Source organism: Homo sapiens, chromosome 17, assembly GCF_000001405.40.
Source record: "Homo sapiens chromosome 17, GRCh38.p14 Primary Assembly".
NCBI classification, from domain to species: Eukaryota; Metazoa; Chordata; class Mammalia; order Primates; family Hominidae; genus Homo; species Homo sapiens.
Genome location: NC_000017.11, coordinates 4770459 through 4788799, shown reverse-complemented (window position 1 = coordinate 4788799; position 18341 = coordinate 4770459). Strand labels below are relative to the sequence as shown.

Here is an 18341-nt window from a genome sequence, read left to right as displayed (position 1 = left end):
GACAGATCAGTGCATTTCCCTTCCCTGTAGGGCCAGCTGTAGCAAGAGGCACTCTGAGTATTGGGAAGAGAGGCAGGGCCCAGAACAGCTCCCCTACTGAGCAGTGGTGTGGGCCCTAAATTCACTCTGGGCTTGAGTTCCCTCCACTGTAAATTGAGGATAATAATAGGTACTTTGCAAGCCTCATGTGAGGATTAAATGATAACGTATGTGAAAACACTAAATGGAAAAGCTGACCACAATTGCCCTATAAATCTTATTAAGTTCAAGCATTGTCCGGCTCTGGGATCCAGGGAACACCCACTTCTCTCTCGCTCTCTTTTTTTTTTTGTTTGTTTTTTGTTTTTTTGTTTTTTGAGACAAAGTCTCGCTCTGTCGCCCAGGCTGGAAAGTGCCGGCTAATTTTTACATTTTTAGTAGAGACAGGGTTTCACCATACTGGACAGGCTGGTCTCGAACTCCTGACCTTGTGATCCGCCCAACTTGGCCTCCCAAAGTGCTGGGATTACAGGCGTAAACCACCGCGCCCAGCCGGGAACACCCACTTCTAAATTCTCTATCTTATTCCCAGGGGACTTTGTCTTGACCTGGATACATGACCTCTTGCAATCATATACGTACGTCAGGCTTTATCCTTTTGCATTTTTGTGGTTTAATTTTCAAAACTCCAGATTGGCTCTTCAATCATTCATTGCACCAACTTTTATTAAGTACTTCCGCACGTACTAGGCTTCAAGAATACAAAAGTGCCTTCACAGAGCTCAAGGTCCACTGGGGGAGAATTTATCCTCTGTCTCCCCCACTGGAATGTGACCTCTGATGACAGGGGCCTTGTTATTCTTGCTTACAGCAAGTGGAATATTGCTTAAGCCAAAACATATTATTGCTAAATAGGTATTGAATAAACAAAGGAGTGTGTATGAGGGGCAGGTAAATCTGGGGTTGTGGCCCCTAACAAATTTAGCCAGGCATTTTTAGGCCAGGCACGGTGGCTCACGCCTGTAATCCCAGCACTTTGGGAGGCCGAGGTGGGCGGATCACCTGAGGTCAGCCTGGCTAACATGGCAACACCCCGTCTCTACTAAAAATATACAAATTAGCCGGGCGTGGTGGCGAACGCCTATAATCCCAGCTACTCGGGAGGTTAAGGGAAGAGAATCGCTTGAACCCGGGAGGCAGAGGTTGCAGTGAGCCGAGATGGCGTCACTGCACTCCAACCTGGGCAACAGAGTGAGACTTCGTCTCAAAACAAACAAACAAACAAACAAACAAAAAACATACTTAGCCAGATTTTCTCGCTTTTTGTTTTGCAAATTAGGAGTCCATCTGGTGGTCACAGGGGGAAAGGCATTCCAGGAAAGGATATAAGGATACAGAAAGCAATGGAAGAAACAGCATGATCTTTTCTTAGGGGTTCTTAGTCTCCTGTCCCCAAACTTCTTAGAGTTATTCCTGTTGGACCGGGCGCGGTGGCTCATGCCTGTAATCCCAGCACTTTGGGAGGCCGAGGCAGGCGGATCACAAGGTCAAGAGATAGAGACCATCCTGGCCAACACGGTGAAACCCGGTCTCTACTAAAAATACAAAAATTAGCGGGGCGGCGTCTTGGCGCGCGCCTGTAGTCCCAGCTACTCGGGAGGCTGAGGCAGGAGAATCGCTTGAACCCAGGAGGTGGAGGTAGCAGTGAGCCGAGATCGCGCCACTGCGATGCCGCCACTGGGCGACAGAGTGAGACTTCGACTCAAAAAATAAAAATAAAAAAGAATTATTTCTGTTTGTATATGTCTTCTTCTAAGGTAGGGAGGAGTGTCCCGGATTCTCAAGGTGTTAGGGCCCTGAGCTCTCAGAAGACCTCTCAGAGGAGGAAGAGACTTCTGAGCTGACAGGAGTTTTCTCAGCTTCTCCAGTTCGAGGATTCTTGTCCTATCCTCACTCTGATGTCCCCTCACATCCTGGAGGTCTCTGGGTTGCTCTTGCCCCATCCCGTCACTGGTGGGACTCCCGGGAGGTCACTTCCATCCCTAGCCCTGGTCTCTGCTCTGTCTCCACTCTCACTGCTGGAATGTTTCCCAGCTTGCTTGGCTGTAAACCTAAGGCAAGTTGCTTGCCATTTTTGAGCCAGTTCCCTCATCTACAAAATAGGAAGGATAATTCTCACCCCCCAAAAATTGTTGTGAGGGTTAAACAAAATACTGCAAAGCGCTAACCATAATTCGTAGCCTATAGTAAATATTCAGTAGGTGATGGTTATTTTAATTCGCCCTCTCTCACTGCCCCTCCTACCCTAGCTCTGGGAGCCTCTGCCTCCGGGAGCAGGAAATAGGGTTCCGGGAGTGGATTAGTTTTGGGTTTCACTTAATCTGGGAGGCCCTTCCGCAATCGGAGCCCTCACAGAGGCCAAACTGATATAAATCTGCTTAGGAGGCCTGATTCACAGACGCTACAGGATGGAGCGGGGCGCAGGAGCCAAGCTGCTGCCGCTGCTGCTGCTTCTGCGGGCGACTGGTTTCACATGTGCACAGACAGATGGCCGGAACGGCTACACGGCGGTCATCGAAGTGACCAGCGGGGGTCCCTGGGGCGACTGGGCCTGGCCTGAGATGTGTCCCGATGGATTCTTCGCCAGCGGGTTCTCGCTCAAGGTTGGGGCTCAGGCGTAGGTCCTGGAGAGGGCGGAGATGCGTGGGACCATAGAGCCAAGGATGATAATTCCGTGACTCGCCCTTGCCCCTCTCCTCGATACCCAGGTGGAGCCTCCCCAAGGCATTCCTGGCGACGACACTGCACTGAATGGGATCAGGCTGCACTGCGCGCGCGGGAACGTCCTAGGCAATACGCACGTGGTAGAGTCCCAGTCTGGAAGGTGGGGCGCAGGGGTCGAGGATCCCTTGGGGTGATGGTATGTCCCTTACCCTCTATTACATACTCCGTCGCAACAGGCAGGCTGGCTCCGCCAGAGCTACGGGGCAGTATAGACCGGGGAGGCGAAGGGTGGATGGAAGACCCCTCCTCCGCTCCTCGGCGGAGGTCGGGGAGCACCCAGCCCACCAGGTCATATACACAGCACTTGGCTTGGAAAGTCTCAAGGGCTTGGTGAATGGGGGGCCCGCAGAGGCAACGCATCTCCCTTTGCCTTGCAGCTGGGGCGAATGGAGTGAGCCGCTGTGGTGTCGCGGCGGCGCCTACCTAGTGGCTTTCTCGCTTCGCGTGGAGGCACCCACGACCCTCGGTGACAACACAGCAGCGAACAACGTGCGCTTCCGCTGTTCAGACGGCGAGGAACTGCAGGGGCCTGGGCTGAGCTGGGGAGACTTTGGAGACTGGAGTGACCATTGCCCCAAGGGCGCGTGCGGCCTGCAGACCAAGATCCAGGGACCTAGAGGCCTCGGCGATGACACTGCGCTGAACGACGCGCGCTTATTCTGCTGCCGCAGTTGAACGGCGCCGCCGCCGCCGCTCTCTCCCGGGCCAGGAGGCTAGTCCCACCTCTTGCTATTAAAGCTTCTCTGAGTTGACTTTGGTCTCGCCTGTTTATTTCATTTATTTATTTATTAATTTATTTATTTGAGACGGAGTATCGCTCTGTCCCCCAGGCTGGAGTGCAGTGGCTCACTCGGCTCACTGCAAGCTCTGCCTCCCGGGTTCACGCCGTTCTCCTGCCTCAGCCTCCCGAGTAGCTGGGACTACAGGCGCCCGCCACTACGCCCGGCTAATTTTTTTTTTTTTTTTTTGTATTTTTAGTAGAGACGGGGTTTCACCGTGTTAGCCAGGATGGTCTCGATCTCCTGACCTCATGATCCGCCCACCTTGGCCTCCCAAAGTGCTGGGATTACAGGCGTGAGACACCATGCCCGGCTGGTCTCGCCTGTTTAAGGGATGGGGAACTGAGTCTCCTTTTCCCCTCCTAACTTAGCATTAGGTGAGGCATACATTTGGATTTGGTCTCAGGGGTCTATGGTAGATTGCTGAAAAGTTATGGACTCGAGAAAAACGCACTTAAACAGATAATTTTCAGACAAGTGATGGAAGTCTGGCTTTTTTTTTTTTTTTTTTTTTTGGAGTCTCACTCTGTCACTCAGGCTGGAGTGCAGTGGTATGATCTTGGCTCACTGCAACTTCCACCTCCTGGGTTCAAACGATTCTTCTGCCTCAGCCTCCTGAGTAGTTGGGACTACTGGTACCCACCACCATGCCCAGCTAATTTTTGTATTTTTAGTAGAGATGGAGTTTCCCCATGTTGGCCAAGCTGGTCTCAAACTCCTGACCTCAAGTGATCCACTGGCTTCAGCCTTCCAAAGTTTTGGGATTACCGGCTTGCACCATCGTGCGGGCCCAGGAAGTCTGGCTTTCTGAGAGAGTCTGCAGACACCCTGCCCCCATTAGGTGCCTAGGTTGTCTCCTTTCTGAACCAGTGACCTAAGATTAAGAAAATTCTACCAAATTATGGCCAGATGTGGTGGCTCACAGCTGTAATCTCAGCACTCTGGGAGGCTGAGGTGGGTGGATTGTTTAAGCTCAGCAGTTGGAGACCAGCCTGGGCAACATGGTGAAATCCCCTCTCTACAAAAAGTACAAAAATTAGCAGGGGTATGGTGGTGTGCGCCTGTAGTCCCAGCTACTCAGGAGGCAGAGGCAGGAGGATTGCTTTAGCCCAGGAGGTGGAGGCTGCAATGAGCCGAGATCGTGCCACTGCACTCCAGCCTGAGTGACAAAGTGAGACCCTGTCAAAAAAAGCAAAAAAAAAAAATTCTATCAAATTAGGAGGTGACAAGGCCACAATGGCTTTACAGTTCCATTTTCTAGAGCTTAAGAGGTTACAGTGTCTTTTCCATAGTTTTCATTATTTTCTCCTACAGAACTGATCCCTGTTTAGGATCTTTGTCCTTGCTGTTCTCTCTGCCTATAATCCCCCAAATATCCAGATGGTTAGCAAGCCTTCCTGATCTTAGCTCAAATTTCATTTTCTCAAATTTTCCCTGTCATAAAAGAGAGTCTCTCCATAAGTCAATATCAATCCCATTACCAACATGCTTTTAAAAAGTGCTTATCGGCCACGCACGGTGGCTCAAGCCTGTAATCCCAATACTTTGGGAGCCTGAAGTGGGAGGATTACTTTTGCTCAGGAGTTCGAGACCAGCCTGGGCAACCTCGTCTCTACAAAAAATACAAAAAAGTTAGCAAGGCATGGTGGCATATGCCTATGGTCCCAGCTACTTGGGAGGCTGAGACGGGAGGATTGCTTGAGCCCAGGAGGTGGAGGATGCAGTGAACCGAGATCGTACCACGGCCTTCCAGCCTGAGTGACAGCGAGACCCTGTCAAAAAAAAAAAAAAAAAGTGCTTATTACCTATTGAAATAATTTTTTGCTTCTTTTAAAAATTGCCTATCTTCCACTCTTGGAATGCCAAGTTCTTTGAGAGAATAAAACTTGTCTGTCTTGTTTACCGTCCTTATTTCCAGCGCAACCAAATAGCTCAGTATCTATTCGTTAAGAAAGTACAAGTGGGGTGCAGGGGCCCCAAAGGCCAGGTGTATCCGTAGCCTCTCGCACACTCCTCCTTACAGAAGGCACAATCTCAGACAGAGAAGAGAGCGCAAAGCAGTTTATTCTAGCGAGCAAGGGAGTGAGCGTCCAGGAAGGAGCAGGTGTAACCCGGCGGTCAGTGGAGCCTCAGTGAGGTGTGTCCTGCGGAAAAGAGAAGGTGAGAACGCAGCCAGGACCAGGCAGGTTCCCTCTACAACTCCACCGCAAGAAATTTCACCTGTTTTTTCCTGCAATCGCCGCAGAAGACACCAATGGTCGCGTTCACCAGCTGGATCCCACACAGTACTATCTCCAGGCAGGAGGCGGCCACCAGCAGCGAGAAGAGCGTCACATTCCAGGGGACCACGCGAGGGGGCGCCTCGCACCGATCCCATAGAGTGCGGTTGAGCAAGTAAGCTCCCCTGTGGGAGGGGTGAGGCCACGTGGGAGAAGGCAGCGTGCGCGTGCGCCACCCCGCCCCCAAGAATACGTCCCAGGGGATTTGCTAAGGCCCAGGTAGCCCACGTGGAGCGAGTGCCCTCGAAGTCGAGTCCCGCCCAGGTGTCCCAGTCCACGGGGGAAGGGCGGGAGGGAAGAGGCAGAGAATGGAGGACACGAATACAGGCTAAACCTTACGCGGTGTCTTCGAAGTGGTAGCCCCACTCGCCGTTCATTAAGCATCTGGGTCCATTTCGGAGCCCAGCTCCAGACACCGAGAGGCAGTAGATGGCACCAAGCACCCCGAACGCCGAGGAGAAGACCGAGCGCAGCATCTGGATGTGGTGTGGAAGGGGAGGTAAGGCCCAATCTCCCCACCTGTGGGTGACGACGCTCAGCGCCAGCCCCCACGCATTATCGAAATCTGCTCCAGTCGGGTTGTTAAAATGTATTTTTTAATGCCGGGCGCGGTGGCTCACCCCTGTAATCTCAGCACTTTGGGAGGCTGAGGCGGGTGGATCTCCTGAGGTCGAGAGTTCAAGACCAGCCTGGCCAACATGGAGAAACCTTGTCTTTACTGAAAATACAAAAATTAGCCGGGTGTGGTGGCACATGCCCGAGGCTGAGGCAGGAGAATAGCTTGAACATGGGAGGCGGAGGTTGCAATGAGCCGAGATCGCACCACTGCACTCCAGCCTGGGCGACAGAGCCAGACCCCGTCTCAAAAAGAAAAAAAAAAAAAAAAATTAGAAATTCGGACTCTGTTTCTGCACCTGTCCTTGCAGAACCACAGCACTCTCTATGGAATTCCTAGCTACACAAGCTCCTCTGCGGACTCCCAGGCCCCACCCCACCCTTCCCTGGCACCCACAAATCTCAGATCTCAATGATCCTGAGGGGTAGGCGGGTGAAGGGGAGAGGGGGGAACTACAACCCCAGTGAATCTCGGCGGCCGCTGGCTTTCAGGTTAGCCTAACTGCAAGCCCGGGGTTTGAAGGGAAATTTATTTTAAACCTGACTCGAGGCTGGGCACGATATCTCACACCTGTAATCCCAGCACTTTGGGAGGCCAAGGGGGGCAGATCGCCTGAGGCCAGGAGTTTCAGACCACTCTGGCCAACAGTGAAACCCCGTCTCTACTAAAAATATAAAAATTAGCTGGGTGTGGTGGCAGGCGCCTGTAATCCCAGCTACTTGGGAGGCTGGAAGAACAAGAATGGCTTGAACTAGGGAGGCGGAAGCTGCAGTGAGCCAAGATCGTGCCACTGTACTCCAGCCTGGGTGACAGACCAAGACTATGTCTAAAATAAATAAGATAAATAAATGTAAAATAAAATAAAAATACATTTTTTTTGAGGCGGAGTTTTGCTCTTGTTGCCCAGGCTGGAATGCAATGGCACAATCTTGGCTCACCGTAATCTCCTGCCTCAGCCTCCTGAGTAGCTGGGATTACAGGCGCCCACCACCACACCAGGCTAATTTCTGTATCTTTTCTTTTCTTTTTTTTGAGACAGAGTTTCACTCTTGTTGCCCAGGCTGGAGTGCAATGGTGTGATCTCGGCCCATTGCAACCTCTGCCTCCAGGGTTCAAGTGATTTTCCTGCCTCAGCCTCCTGAGTAGCTGGGATTACAGGTGCCCGCCACCACGCCTGGCTAATTTCTGTATCTTTTCTCTTCTTTTTTTTTTTTTTTTTTTTTTTTTAAATCACTGCTTACTGCAGCCTGGACCTCCTGGGCTCAAGCGGCCCTCCCACCTCAGCCTCCCAAGTAGCCGAGATTGCAGGTGCTTGCCACCACGCCCGGCTAATTTTTGTATTGTTAGTAGAGATAGGGATCTTGCCATGTTTCCTGGGCTGGTCTAGAACTCCTGGCTCAAGCCGTACTCCCACCTCAGCCTGCTAAAGTGTTGGGATTACAGGCATGAGACACCACCCCCAGCCCTGAATTCCTTCTTAATCTGGATCTTACCCTGCAGCGGTTTCCACAGCACCCAGCACCACAGCAGCCCTTGCCCCCTGCCCGAACGGCTGCAATCCCCGGACACAGTACCTGTGGGACAAGAGTCATTGTTATAGCACGTCCCCCCAGATCCTCCAGGCCTGACTTGCATCAGTGCCTACCTCCTTCAGGAAGCTGCCTGTGATGCCTTCAGCCCTTTGGACTGTAGAAGACCTTATCTCTACGTCTCCTGGAGCTGCTGGGCTTCACCTTACTTTATCCTTATTTACGTGCCTACCTTATCTCTGTCCAGATTGTGGCCTCTAGAGGGTAGGGCCCAATATCATTATTTTCCCCAATCTTGGCACATAGTAGGTGCCCTACTGAATGGAAATCAGGGAAACTACTTCACATGCTATGAATTGATTCATCTCTCAGGGTCTCAGTTTTGCCTGTATAAAATGGGTCTGGAAGATCTACCTCACAGGTCTGTTCTCAGGATTTAATGGGAGAACAAGCTGACTAGGTGTTAAGACTGGCTCAGAGGCCGGGCGCGGTGGTTCACGCCTGAAATCCCAGCATGTTGAGAGGCTGAGGCTGGTGGATCACCTGAGGTCGGAAGTTCAAGACCAGCCTGACCAACATGGAGAAACCCCAACTCTGCTAAAAATACAAAATTAGCCGGGCGTGGTGGCGCATGCCTATAATCTCAGCTACTCGGGGGGCTGAGGCAGGAGAATTACTTGAACCTGGGAGGTGGAGGTTGTGGTGAGCTGAGATCGTGCCACTGTACTCCAACCCGGGCAATAAGAGCGAAACTCCATCTCAAAAAAAAAAAAAAAAAAAGACCAGCTCAGAGTAACTCAATATTTATAAGTTCCCTCAGCAGCAGGAAGGGATAGAGGTGTTGGAGTGTCTGGTGAATTGGGATTACAGTAGAGTGTGGAAGAGTGCTAGTGGATGGTCTGATATGGAGTGTAGCATTTTCCAAGATTCAAGCCTTGGTCTTTTTTTCTCCCTGTGGCTTTCCTAACAATGCCCATCCCCTTTCAGGGAATCAGCTCTTCACTCTGCCAGAAGTTGCCTCCAAAACTGATGCCTCCAGATCCTATGTTCACTTGAATATCTTGGTTTTAGCTCAAATTCAACCAGCCTCACGCTCATCTCACAATATTCCTCAAATTCATCTCCCTTTGACTTTCTTGTCTCCATCAGTGGAAAAAATAACATCTACTAGGTCAGCCAGGCTGGAAAGCTTTAATCTTGCACCCAGAAAGACATCAAATTTTCTCAACTTTTACTTAAGTGGCTCCTGAATCTGTGAGTTCCTCCCCACATTGAATCCCTCATCACCTCCCATGAGGGTGTTCTCAGCCTCCCTATTACACTCTCATAGCTCTTGCCCCATGCCACCCTACACTCTATCCTCTATCAGGTTAAACATAGCTTTTTTTTTTCTTTCTTTCTTTTTGAAACAGGGTCTCACTCTGCCACCCAGGCTGGAATGCAGTGGCTTGATCGTGGCTGACTTTAGCCTTGACCTCCTGGGCTCAAGTGATCCTCCTGCCTCAGCCTCCTGAGTAGCTGGTATCGCAGGCATGCGTCATCATTCCCAGCTAATTAAAAAAAATTTTGTAGACATGGGGTCTTGCTATTTGCTCAGGCTGGTCTTGAACTCCTGGGCTCCTCCTGCCCTGGCCTACCAAATTGCTGGGATTACAGGTGTAAGTCACTGCATCTGGCCTAAACATAGCTTTCAACTGGTCTTTTCTCTGCTCAAATCCTTTAGGGTCTCTTCACAGAGAAGCCCATCAAGACTGAACTCTTTTTTTTTTTTTTTTTTTGAGACGGAGTCTCACTCTGTCACCAGGTTGGAGTACAGTGGTGTGATCTTGGCTCACTGCAACCTCCACCTCCCAGGTTCAAGTGATTCTCCTGCCTCAGCCTCCTGAGTAGCTGGGACTACATGCACATGCCACCACGCCGGGCTAATTTTTTGTATTTTTAGTAGAGACGGGGTTTCATCATGTTGGCCAGAATGGTCTTGATCTCCTGACCTCGTGATCCGCCTGCCTCAGCCTCCCAAAGTGCTGGGATTACAAGCGTGAGCCACCGCGCCTGGCCAAGACTTGTAACTTGAACGCCTAACTCTTGTAAGGCATTTAAGCCTCCTCATCTGGCTCCGTTACCTTTATCTTCGTTGCACCAGGTCAGGTTCTTTGCCTGTCTCCTATCTCTGGAATTCCACAGCTGTCTTGCTTCTTGCTTTCGTGTGTGTGTGTGTTTGCTTTTTGAGACAGGATCTCACTCTGTCATCCAGGCTGGAATGCAGTGGTGCAATCATGGCTCACTGCATCCTCAACCTCCTGGGCTCAAATGATCTTCTCACCTCGGCCTCCCGAGTAGCTGGGACTAAAGGTGCGGAACAACATGCCTGGCTAATTTTTTTGGAGAGTTCATGTCTTACCATGTTGCCTAGCTGATCTCGAACTCCTGGGCTCAAGCAATCCTCCTGCTTCAGCCTCCCAAATTGCTGGGATTACAGGCATGAGCCACTGTGCCTGGCTCCTCATGTGTCTTATCTGGCACATACCATCCAAGGCAGCATTTTGTGCTTCTCCAGGGAAAGGGCTGAGAGTTTCAGTTCTATTATATCATCCCCAGCAACCTCAGAGAAACACCTGCTCTCTCTTCTTCCTGTCTCATGGCAGGGCCAGGACCCATGCTGACACCTTACTTTACCTCCCTGGTTAGGTCACTTACTGGAGGCTTGTGGATCCAAACACACCTAGAATTGCCTTTTGGATTTACCAATTTTGAATGATCTACTTGTCTGAGGTTTCTGCTTTTGTTTGAGAGAGGGTCTCACACTGTTGCCCAGACTGGAGTGCAGTGGCATGATCATGGCTCACTGCAGCCTCGACCTCCTGGGCTCAAGTGATCCTCTCACCTTAGCATTAGAGTAGCTGGGATTACAGGCTTGTACCACCACACTCAGCTAATTTTTTCTTTTTTGAGACGAAGTTTTGCTCTTGTTGCCCAGGCTGGAGTGCAATGGCGCGATCTTGGCTCGCTGTAACCTCTGCCTCCCGTGTTCAGGTGATTCTCCTGCCTCAGCCTCCCGAGTAGCTGGGATTACATGCATGCGCCACCACGCCCTGCTAACTTTGTATTTTTAGTAGAGACAAAGTTTCTCCATGTTGGTCAGGCTGGTCTCAAACTCCTGACCTCAGCTGATCAGCCTGCTTCGGCCTCCCAAAGTGCTGGGATTACAGGTGTGAGCCACCGCACCTGGCCAGACCCAGCTAATTTTAAAATTTTTGTTGAGATAGAGTCTCACTATGTTGCCCAGGCTGGTCTTGAATGCTGGGACTCAAGCGATTCTCCTGCCTCCACCTCCCAAAGTGTTGGGATTTTACAGGCATGAGCCACCACACCTGGCCCTATTTGAGATTTTTACTCTTTTGATTAAAGTGTTTGCTTCCCTTTGTAGTATGTGCTTCTCTGTCTCATTCTTCACCATCTTTTTGTCTTAGTGAAAAGTGTCATCATAAATGAAGAAGAAAACACTGTGCTTATAGCCTGAATCAGCTCATATTTCTCCATTTCCATAGCCACTGGCCTAGTCCAAGCCACTCTCATCTCTCCTGGATGTCTTCCGTGACCTCAGTTTGGTCTTTTCTTTTTCTTTTTTTTTTTTTTTGAGATGGAGTCTTGCTCTGTCACCCAGGCTGGATTGCAGTGGCATGATCTCGGCTCACTGTAACCTCTGTCTGCTGGGTTCAGGAGATTCTCCTGCCTCAGCCTTCCGAGTAGCTGGGATTACAGGCATGCACCACCATGCCCTGCTAACTTTGTATTTTTAGTAGAGACGGGGTTTCGCCATGTTGGTCAGGCTGGTCTCGAACTCCTGACCTCATGATCCGCTGGCCTCGGCCTCCAAAAGTGCTGGGATTACAGGCTTGAGGCCCCACGCCCAGCTCAGTTTGGTCTTTTTCTGTATATATTGCAGACCTTCTACTACCCATTCTCCACACAGTGGTCAAAGGAGTCTTCTTCATTCCAGTGGCGTGTGGAGCAACCAGACCTCTCACACTAAGAACTACAGAAAACTGGCAATATCTATTAGCGCTGAATACTTGCATGTCTTAAGAATCAGCAGTTTTACTGCTAGGTTTTTATCCAATAGAAATGCACACGTATTTGTACCTAAATACATCTACAAGAATATTTATAGCAGCATTATTTGCAAAAAAACCAAACTGGGAATGATCCAGATCTCCTTCAACAGTAGAATGGGCCGGGCACAGTGGCTTATGCCTGTAATCCCAGTACTCTGGGAGGCCGAGGCAGGCGGATCACCTAAGGTTGGGAGTTCAAAACCAGCCTGACCAATATCGCGAAACCCCGTCTCTACTAAAAATACAAAAATTAACTGGGCACGGTGGCACATGCCTGTAATCCCAGCTACTCAGGAGGCTGAGGCAGGAGAATCATGTGAACCTGGGAGTCAGAGGTTGCAGTGAGCCGAGATGGCGCCATTGTACTCCAGCCTGGGTGACAGAGCGAGACTCTGTTTCAAAAAAAACAAAAAAGCAAAAAAGCAAAAAAACAAACAAACAAACAGTAGAATGTATAAATGAGGTATAGTCACATAATAGAATGTATAAGAAAAAAAGAAAACTACAGCTACACCTGATAATATGGGTGGCTCTCACAAACGTAATATGGAGCTAAAGAAGCCAGACACAGGCCAGGCGCGGTGGCTCACGCTCGTAATCCCAGCACTTGGGGAGGCCGAGGTGGGTGGATCACCTGAGGTCGGGAGTGCGAGACCAGCCTGACCAACATGGCGAAACCCCCATCTCTACTAAAGTAAATACAAAAATTAGCCAGGCGTGGTGGCTCATGCCTGTAACCCCAGCTACTCTGGAGGCTGAGGCATGAGAATCATTTGAACCTGGGAGGCGGAGGTTGCAGTGAGCTGAGATAGCGCCACTGCACTCCAGCCTGGGCAACAGCTCCGTCTCAAAAAAAAGCCAGACACATACTCTATCATTCCATTTGTGTAAAGTGCAAAATAAGCCAAACTCGTCTATGGGGTTAGAAGACAGAATAGTGGTTACGCTTGTTGGTGAAGTGATTCTGGGGTTCCGTGTGTGGTGAGAAGCATGTCTGGGCTTCTGGTAATGATCTGTTTCTTGACCTGGGCTCAGATGTGCTCACTTTGTAAAAGTTTGTTGAGCTGTGTACTAAGGATCTGGGTACTTGTCTGTGTGACTTAAATAAAAAGTTTTAAACCGTCAAAAAACAAAGTGCCAAAAGTCCTTCAATAGGGCATGGCGCGGTGGCTCACTCCTGTAATCCCAGCACTTTAGGAGGCCGAGGCGGGTGGATCACAAGGTCAGGAGATCGAGACCATCCTGGCTAACACGGTGAAACCCCATCTCTACTAAAAATACAAAAAAAAAAAATTTGCTGTGCGTGGTGGCGGGCGCCTGTAGTCCCAGCTACTCGGGAGGCTGAGGCAGGAGAATGGCGTGAACCCAAGAGGTGGAGCTTGTAGTGAACCGAGATCGCACCACTGCACTGCAGCCCGGGCGACACAGTGAGATTCCGTCTCAAAAAAAAAAAAAAGTCCTTCAATAGTTTTCTGTTGTACTTATAATAATAAAAATTCAAATGACTCCACTGTGGCTTTTCAGGGTGTTCCAGGCCTAGCCTCTGCCCTCCTCAGACCTCATCTCATTACATCTCACCTCACCGGCCACCTGTCTGATCCTCAGAAGTGTAGAGCTTGTTCCCACCTTAGGCTTTGTACTACCAGCCCCTAGTGTCTGCAACACTCACACCTTCTTCTTGTCATTTGGGTCTCAGTTCAGACATCACCTCATAGAGCCTGTCCCTGAAAATCCTATAAAAAGTGGCATCTGCTTTGCCTAGGAGCTCTTCATGCCAGCACCATTTCATTTTATTTTTATTTTTTACTTTTGAGACAGAGTTTCACTCTTGTTGCCCAGGCTGGAGTACAATGGTGCAATCTTGGTTCACTGCAACCTCCGCCTCTCGGGTTCAAGCAATTCTCCTGCCTCAGCTTCCTGAGTAGCTGGGACTACAGGCATGCGCCACCACGCCTGGCTAATTTTTGTATTTTTAGTAGAGACAGGATTTCTGCATGTTGGTCAGGCTGGTCGTGAACTCCTGACCTCGGTGATCCGCCTGCCTCAGCCTCCCAAAGTGCTGGGATTACAGGCATGAGCCACTGCGCCCGGCCGATGGTACCTACTTCTATCTGAAATTGCCTTGCCTAGTTCTATACTTCATTCAATGACTTTTTTATTTTTTATTTTCTTGAGACAAGGTCTTGCTCTGTTGCCCAGGCTGGAGTGCAGTGGCGCGTGGTCATAGCTCACTGCAATCTTTCATTTCTGGGCCCAAACTAGGACTACAGGCACACGCTGCCATTCCATGACTATTAATTGGGTGTCTGTTTAGTGCAAGGTGCTGGTCTAGCACTGGGTACATAGTGGCCAACAAAGCAGGCAGTGCTTGCTCTCGTGGGACTTCCAGCCTTGCTTCCGTGAGACTGGTGGCCTTACCAAAGGGAACACAAGCTTCAGGGAGAGCAGGAACCTGTCTGTGTCCCTGTGATATACAGCAGTGCTTATTTATTTGTTTATTTATGTATGAGATGGAGTCTTGCTCTGTCGCCCAGGCTGGAGCACAATGGCGCAATCTCGCCTCACTGCAACCTCTGCCTCCCGGGTTCTCCTGCCTCAGTCTCCCGAGTAGCTGGGATTACAGGCGCCCGCCACTATGCCTGGCTAATTTTTGTATATTTCTTTAAGTAGAGACGGGGTTTCACCATGTTGGCCAGGCTGGTCTTGAACTCCTGACCTCAGGTGATTGGCCCGCCTCGGCCTCCCAAAGTGTTGGGATTACAGGCGTAAGCCACCATGCCCACCGGGTGGTGCTTCTTGAGAGTGACTCTGGGCACAGAGGTGGAGGGAAGGCAGCTGTGAATGCATATTTGGGGAAGGCAGACTCAGGGAGCTCCGCTGAAGCAAGCTGGTTAGATGGGGCAGAGGAGTGTGGGGAGACAGGGGTGGTTCAGGTTGCAGAGGGAGCACCCCGTGACAATGGCTAAGTGTGTCAGCCTGAGAGGAGTGTGACTCTCAAAGAGAGTTGAGTTTAGAGCGATAGAGTAGAGTACAGCAGCCAAGAATCCATGCAGGAGGAGGGAGTAGAAGAAAAGATACTAGAGAGTAAGAGGGGATTGTTGGTTAAAGGAGAGGTATCCTCTTTTAGCAAATAGAGGTGTGACCAGCGAGGTGTGACCAGCAAAAGGGACCAAGGGGAGCTCTCCCCTGGAGAATGTCATTAGCCAACTGTCCTGAGAAGTGGGGAACTGTGCTGGGTAGATCTTTTGTCTTTATCGCATGAAGATATTAAACGAGGTTGACCATCCCAAAGTTTCCCTGAATGGGTGGAGAGTTGGAAGATGGGGGTTAGTAAATTGGGGAAATCTGTGTCTCCTTTTCCTCCACTTCTGACAGATCCTAGTCTTGGCCAGGCGTGGTGGCTCACATCTATAATTCTAGCACTTTGGGAGGCTGAGGCAGGAGGATCACTTGAATCCAGGAGTTTGAGACCAGTCTGGGCAACACAGAGATACTCCGTCTCTACAAAAAATGTAAGCTGGGGCGGTGGCTCACATCTGTAATCCCAGCACTTTGGGAGGCCGAGGGGGGCGGATCACCTGAGGTCAGGAGTTCGAGACCAGCCTAGCCAACGTGGCGAAACCCTGTCTCTACTGAAAATGCAAAAATTAGCTGGGTGTGGTGGCACGTGACCGTAATCCCAGCTACTCAGGAGGCTGAGGCAGGAGAATTGCTTAAACCCAGGAGACAGAGGTTGCAGTGAACGGAGATGGCGCCACTGCACTCCAGCCTGGGCGACAGAGCGAGACTCCGTCTCAAAAAAATAATAATAATAAAAATAAATAAAATATTTAAAAGTTAGCTGGGTGTGGTGATGCCCACCTGTGGTTCCAGCTGCTCGGAGGCTGAGGTGGGAGGACTGCTTGGGCCCAGGAGGTTGGGGCTACAGTGAGCCATGTTCGCACCACCACACTCCAGCCTGGGCAACAGAGAGAGACCCTGTCTCAAAAAAAAAAAAAAACAAAAAACAAACACAAAAACCAACCCCCACCTCCGCCCCTGGCAAATAGATTCTCATCTCCCGGAAGACGACTTGAGGGCATCCTCCCTGCCATACTGACCTAAGTTCTGAGTTTATCCTTAGCAGTCCGCACAGATTGGGCTTCCAGAAATGTGGGGTGAGAGTGAATGGACGTGGAGGCAAGCGAGGGTGACTGATCCGTGAGGGCAGTCCCTGGCTCTGGGTAATTTCACTGCGCCCCACCCTCATGCCTGTTATTATCCTGCCCCGATGACGTCTCTGACAACCAGCTGCTCCTTCTGCCTCGACCATTGTAGTGAGGTTTTCCCAGCATCTGCTCAACAGTGGGGACAGGGAGGACAGGCAGGACATGCTCCCTACCCGGTAGGGGAGCTCTTTAGAGCAGTGAGGCTCTCGTCCTTTCTGTGCCCCACAGACATTCAGCTTGGGACCCTGGGGCTCCTCCAGGACTGACTCCAGAGGGCTGCTAGCCCCCACGAAGCCATTGCCATCCTCTCCCAAGCAACCATTCTTATTCCTCTCTCCCTCTCCCTCCTGTTCAGAACCCCTTAGGTGGCACCCAGCCAGCTGGCCCGGGCTCCCCTGCCAGCCTTCTCACCATTAGGCCCCCGCCAATGAAGCCGCCCATGAGCCAGACTTGCAAGCTGAGATGGTTGGTGTTGGTCCAGGAGGTCTCCCCATTAGGTACCAGCAGGAGGGCGTTGGCCACAATGCAGACGAGGCAGAGGGTAATGAGGGAGAGCCCCACACAGCGGGCACATTTTCCCGTACACATGGTGAGGTGTCAGGAAGGACAGGCGGTGAGTGAAAGTAAGCCAGTGGTTCCCAGGTCCAGAGGAAAACAAGCCTGGAGCACGGAGCAAAGTTCAGACAGAGGCGTGGCAGAAACTGGCAGGATCAGAATGATAAGGGAGAGAGGCACAGGATGTGGGCCCTGAGGAGGCAGAGGCGGAGGAGCTGCAGCCCTGAGGTGAAGGGAGGATGTGGTGCTGGACAAGGTGGGGGCTATGGACACATTACCCTGGGTTAGTGCCTTCCTGTTTTTTCTGCACAGCTCCACAGCCCCTCTGTTGGTTCCATACCTGCTTTGCAACTTAGCCAAGCCCCTTCATGTCTCTTAAGTCTCAGTTGCCACTTGTGTCTGGGCACGGTGGCTCACACCTGTAATCCCAGCACTTTGGGAGGCCGAGGAGGGTGGATCACCTGAGGTCAGGAGTTTGAGACCAGCCTGGCCAACGTGGTGAAACCCCGTCACTACTAAAAATGCAAAAGTTATCTGTGCATGGTGGCGGGCACCTGTAATCCCAGCTATTCGAGAGGCTGAAGCAGGAGGATCACTTGAACCTGGAAGGTGGAGGTTGCAGTGAGCTGAGATTGTGCCATTGCACTCCAGCCTGGGTGACAAGAGTGAAACTCTGTCTCGAAAAATAAATAAATAAGTAAATAAAGTGACAAGAATGAAACTCTGTCTCAAAAAGTAAATAAATAAATAAATAAATAAATAGATAAATAAATAAGTGATGCCACTTGCCTTGTGGGCTACTTGTGAGGATTAAATGGGACAACCTGAGAAGTATTTTGTAAACTAGGAAGCACAGAGCAGATGTGTGGTGGCCTCTTCGTTTCTGCCAGCCTCTCAGGCAGCATTCTTCCCAGGGAGAAATTAAAGAGGTGATTGTGGGCTCTTATTGTCCTTGCATTTCGTCTTCCTGGTATTTGATTATTGATGTCTCCTCCTCTTGAGGCCACTGCCTGTCTCTCAGGGTGGGCTCGGGACCTAGGCCTCATTGATGAGAGCGTTCTATCCTGCTAGCCTCGGTGTTTGATTTAGCAACAGCCATGCGATCTGAGCCAACTCTGTGAGAATCAGCTTCTGCCATTTTTCCATTCTGAGGTCAAAGAAGTTCTGTTTTTGTTGGGGTGCTGCAGTTTCCTTGATAACTTCTTTTTTTTTTGAGACGGAGTCTCACTCTGCCGCCCAGGCTGGAGAGCAGTGGCGTGATCTTGGCTCACTGCAACCTCCGCCTCCTGGGTTCAAGCGATTCTCCTGCCTCAGCCTCCCAAGTAGCTGGGATTACAGGCGCCCACCACCACACCCAGCTAATTTTTGTATTTTTAGTAGAGACGGGGTTTCACCATGTTGGCCAGGCTGGTCTCAAACTCCTCACCTCAAATGATCCACCTGCCTCAGCCTCCCAAAGTGCTGGGATTACAAGCATGAGCCAAGCCACCCAGTCGA

The 18341-nt window shown here is 50.6% G+C and overlaps 2 protein-coding genes across 5 annotated transcripts; one reads left to right on the top strand and one right to left on the bottom strand.

The window, feature by feature from the left end:
- The first annotated feature begins 2435 nt into the window (after positions 1–2435).
- Positions 2436–3515, top strand: VMO1 (vitelline membrane outer layer 1 homolog). 4 transcript variants are annotated; one of them, NM_001144940.2, is made up of 3 exons: positions 2436–2642; positions 2748–2843; positions 3141–3515. In NM_001144940.2, the coding sequence occupies exons 1-3, from the start codon at positions 2448–2450 to the stop codon at positions 3156–3158; spliced, it is 309 nt and encodes a 102-aa protein (NP_001138412.1). In that variant the 5' UTR covers positions 2436–2447; the 3' UTR covers positions 3159–3515. The 4 variants fall into 4 exon arrangements, with proteins under 4 accessions (NP_001138412.1, NP_872372.1, NP_001138411.1 ...); NM_182566.3 differs by having other exon boundaries at positions 2748–2863; NM_001144939.2 differs by having other exon boundaries at positions 2748–2899.
- Positions 3516–5588: 2073 nt separating this feature from the next.
- TM4SF5 (transmembrane 4 L six family member 5) lies at positions 5589–16914 on the bottom strand. The gene is made up of 5 exons (NM_003963.3): positions 16701–16914; positions 7931–8011; positions 6161–6297; positions 5763–5946; positions 5589–5686 (listed from the first exon to the last, which is right to left on the bottom strand). Exons 1-5 carry the CDS (start codon positions 16875–16877, stop codon positions 5672–5674), a joined length of 594 nt encoding a protein of 197 aa, NP_003954.2. The 5' UTR covers positions 16878–16914; the 3' UTR covers positions 5589–5671.
- Between the last annotated feature and the right edge of the window lie 1427 nt (positions 16915–18341).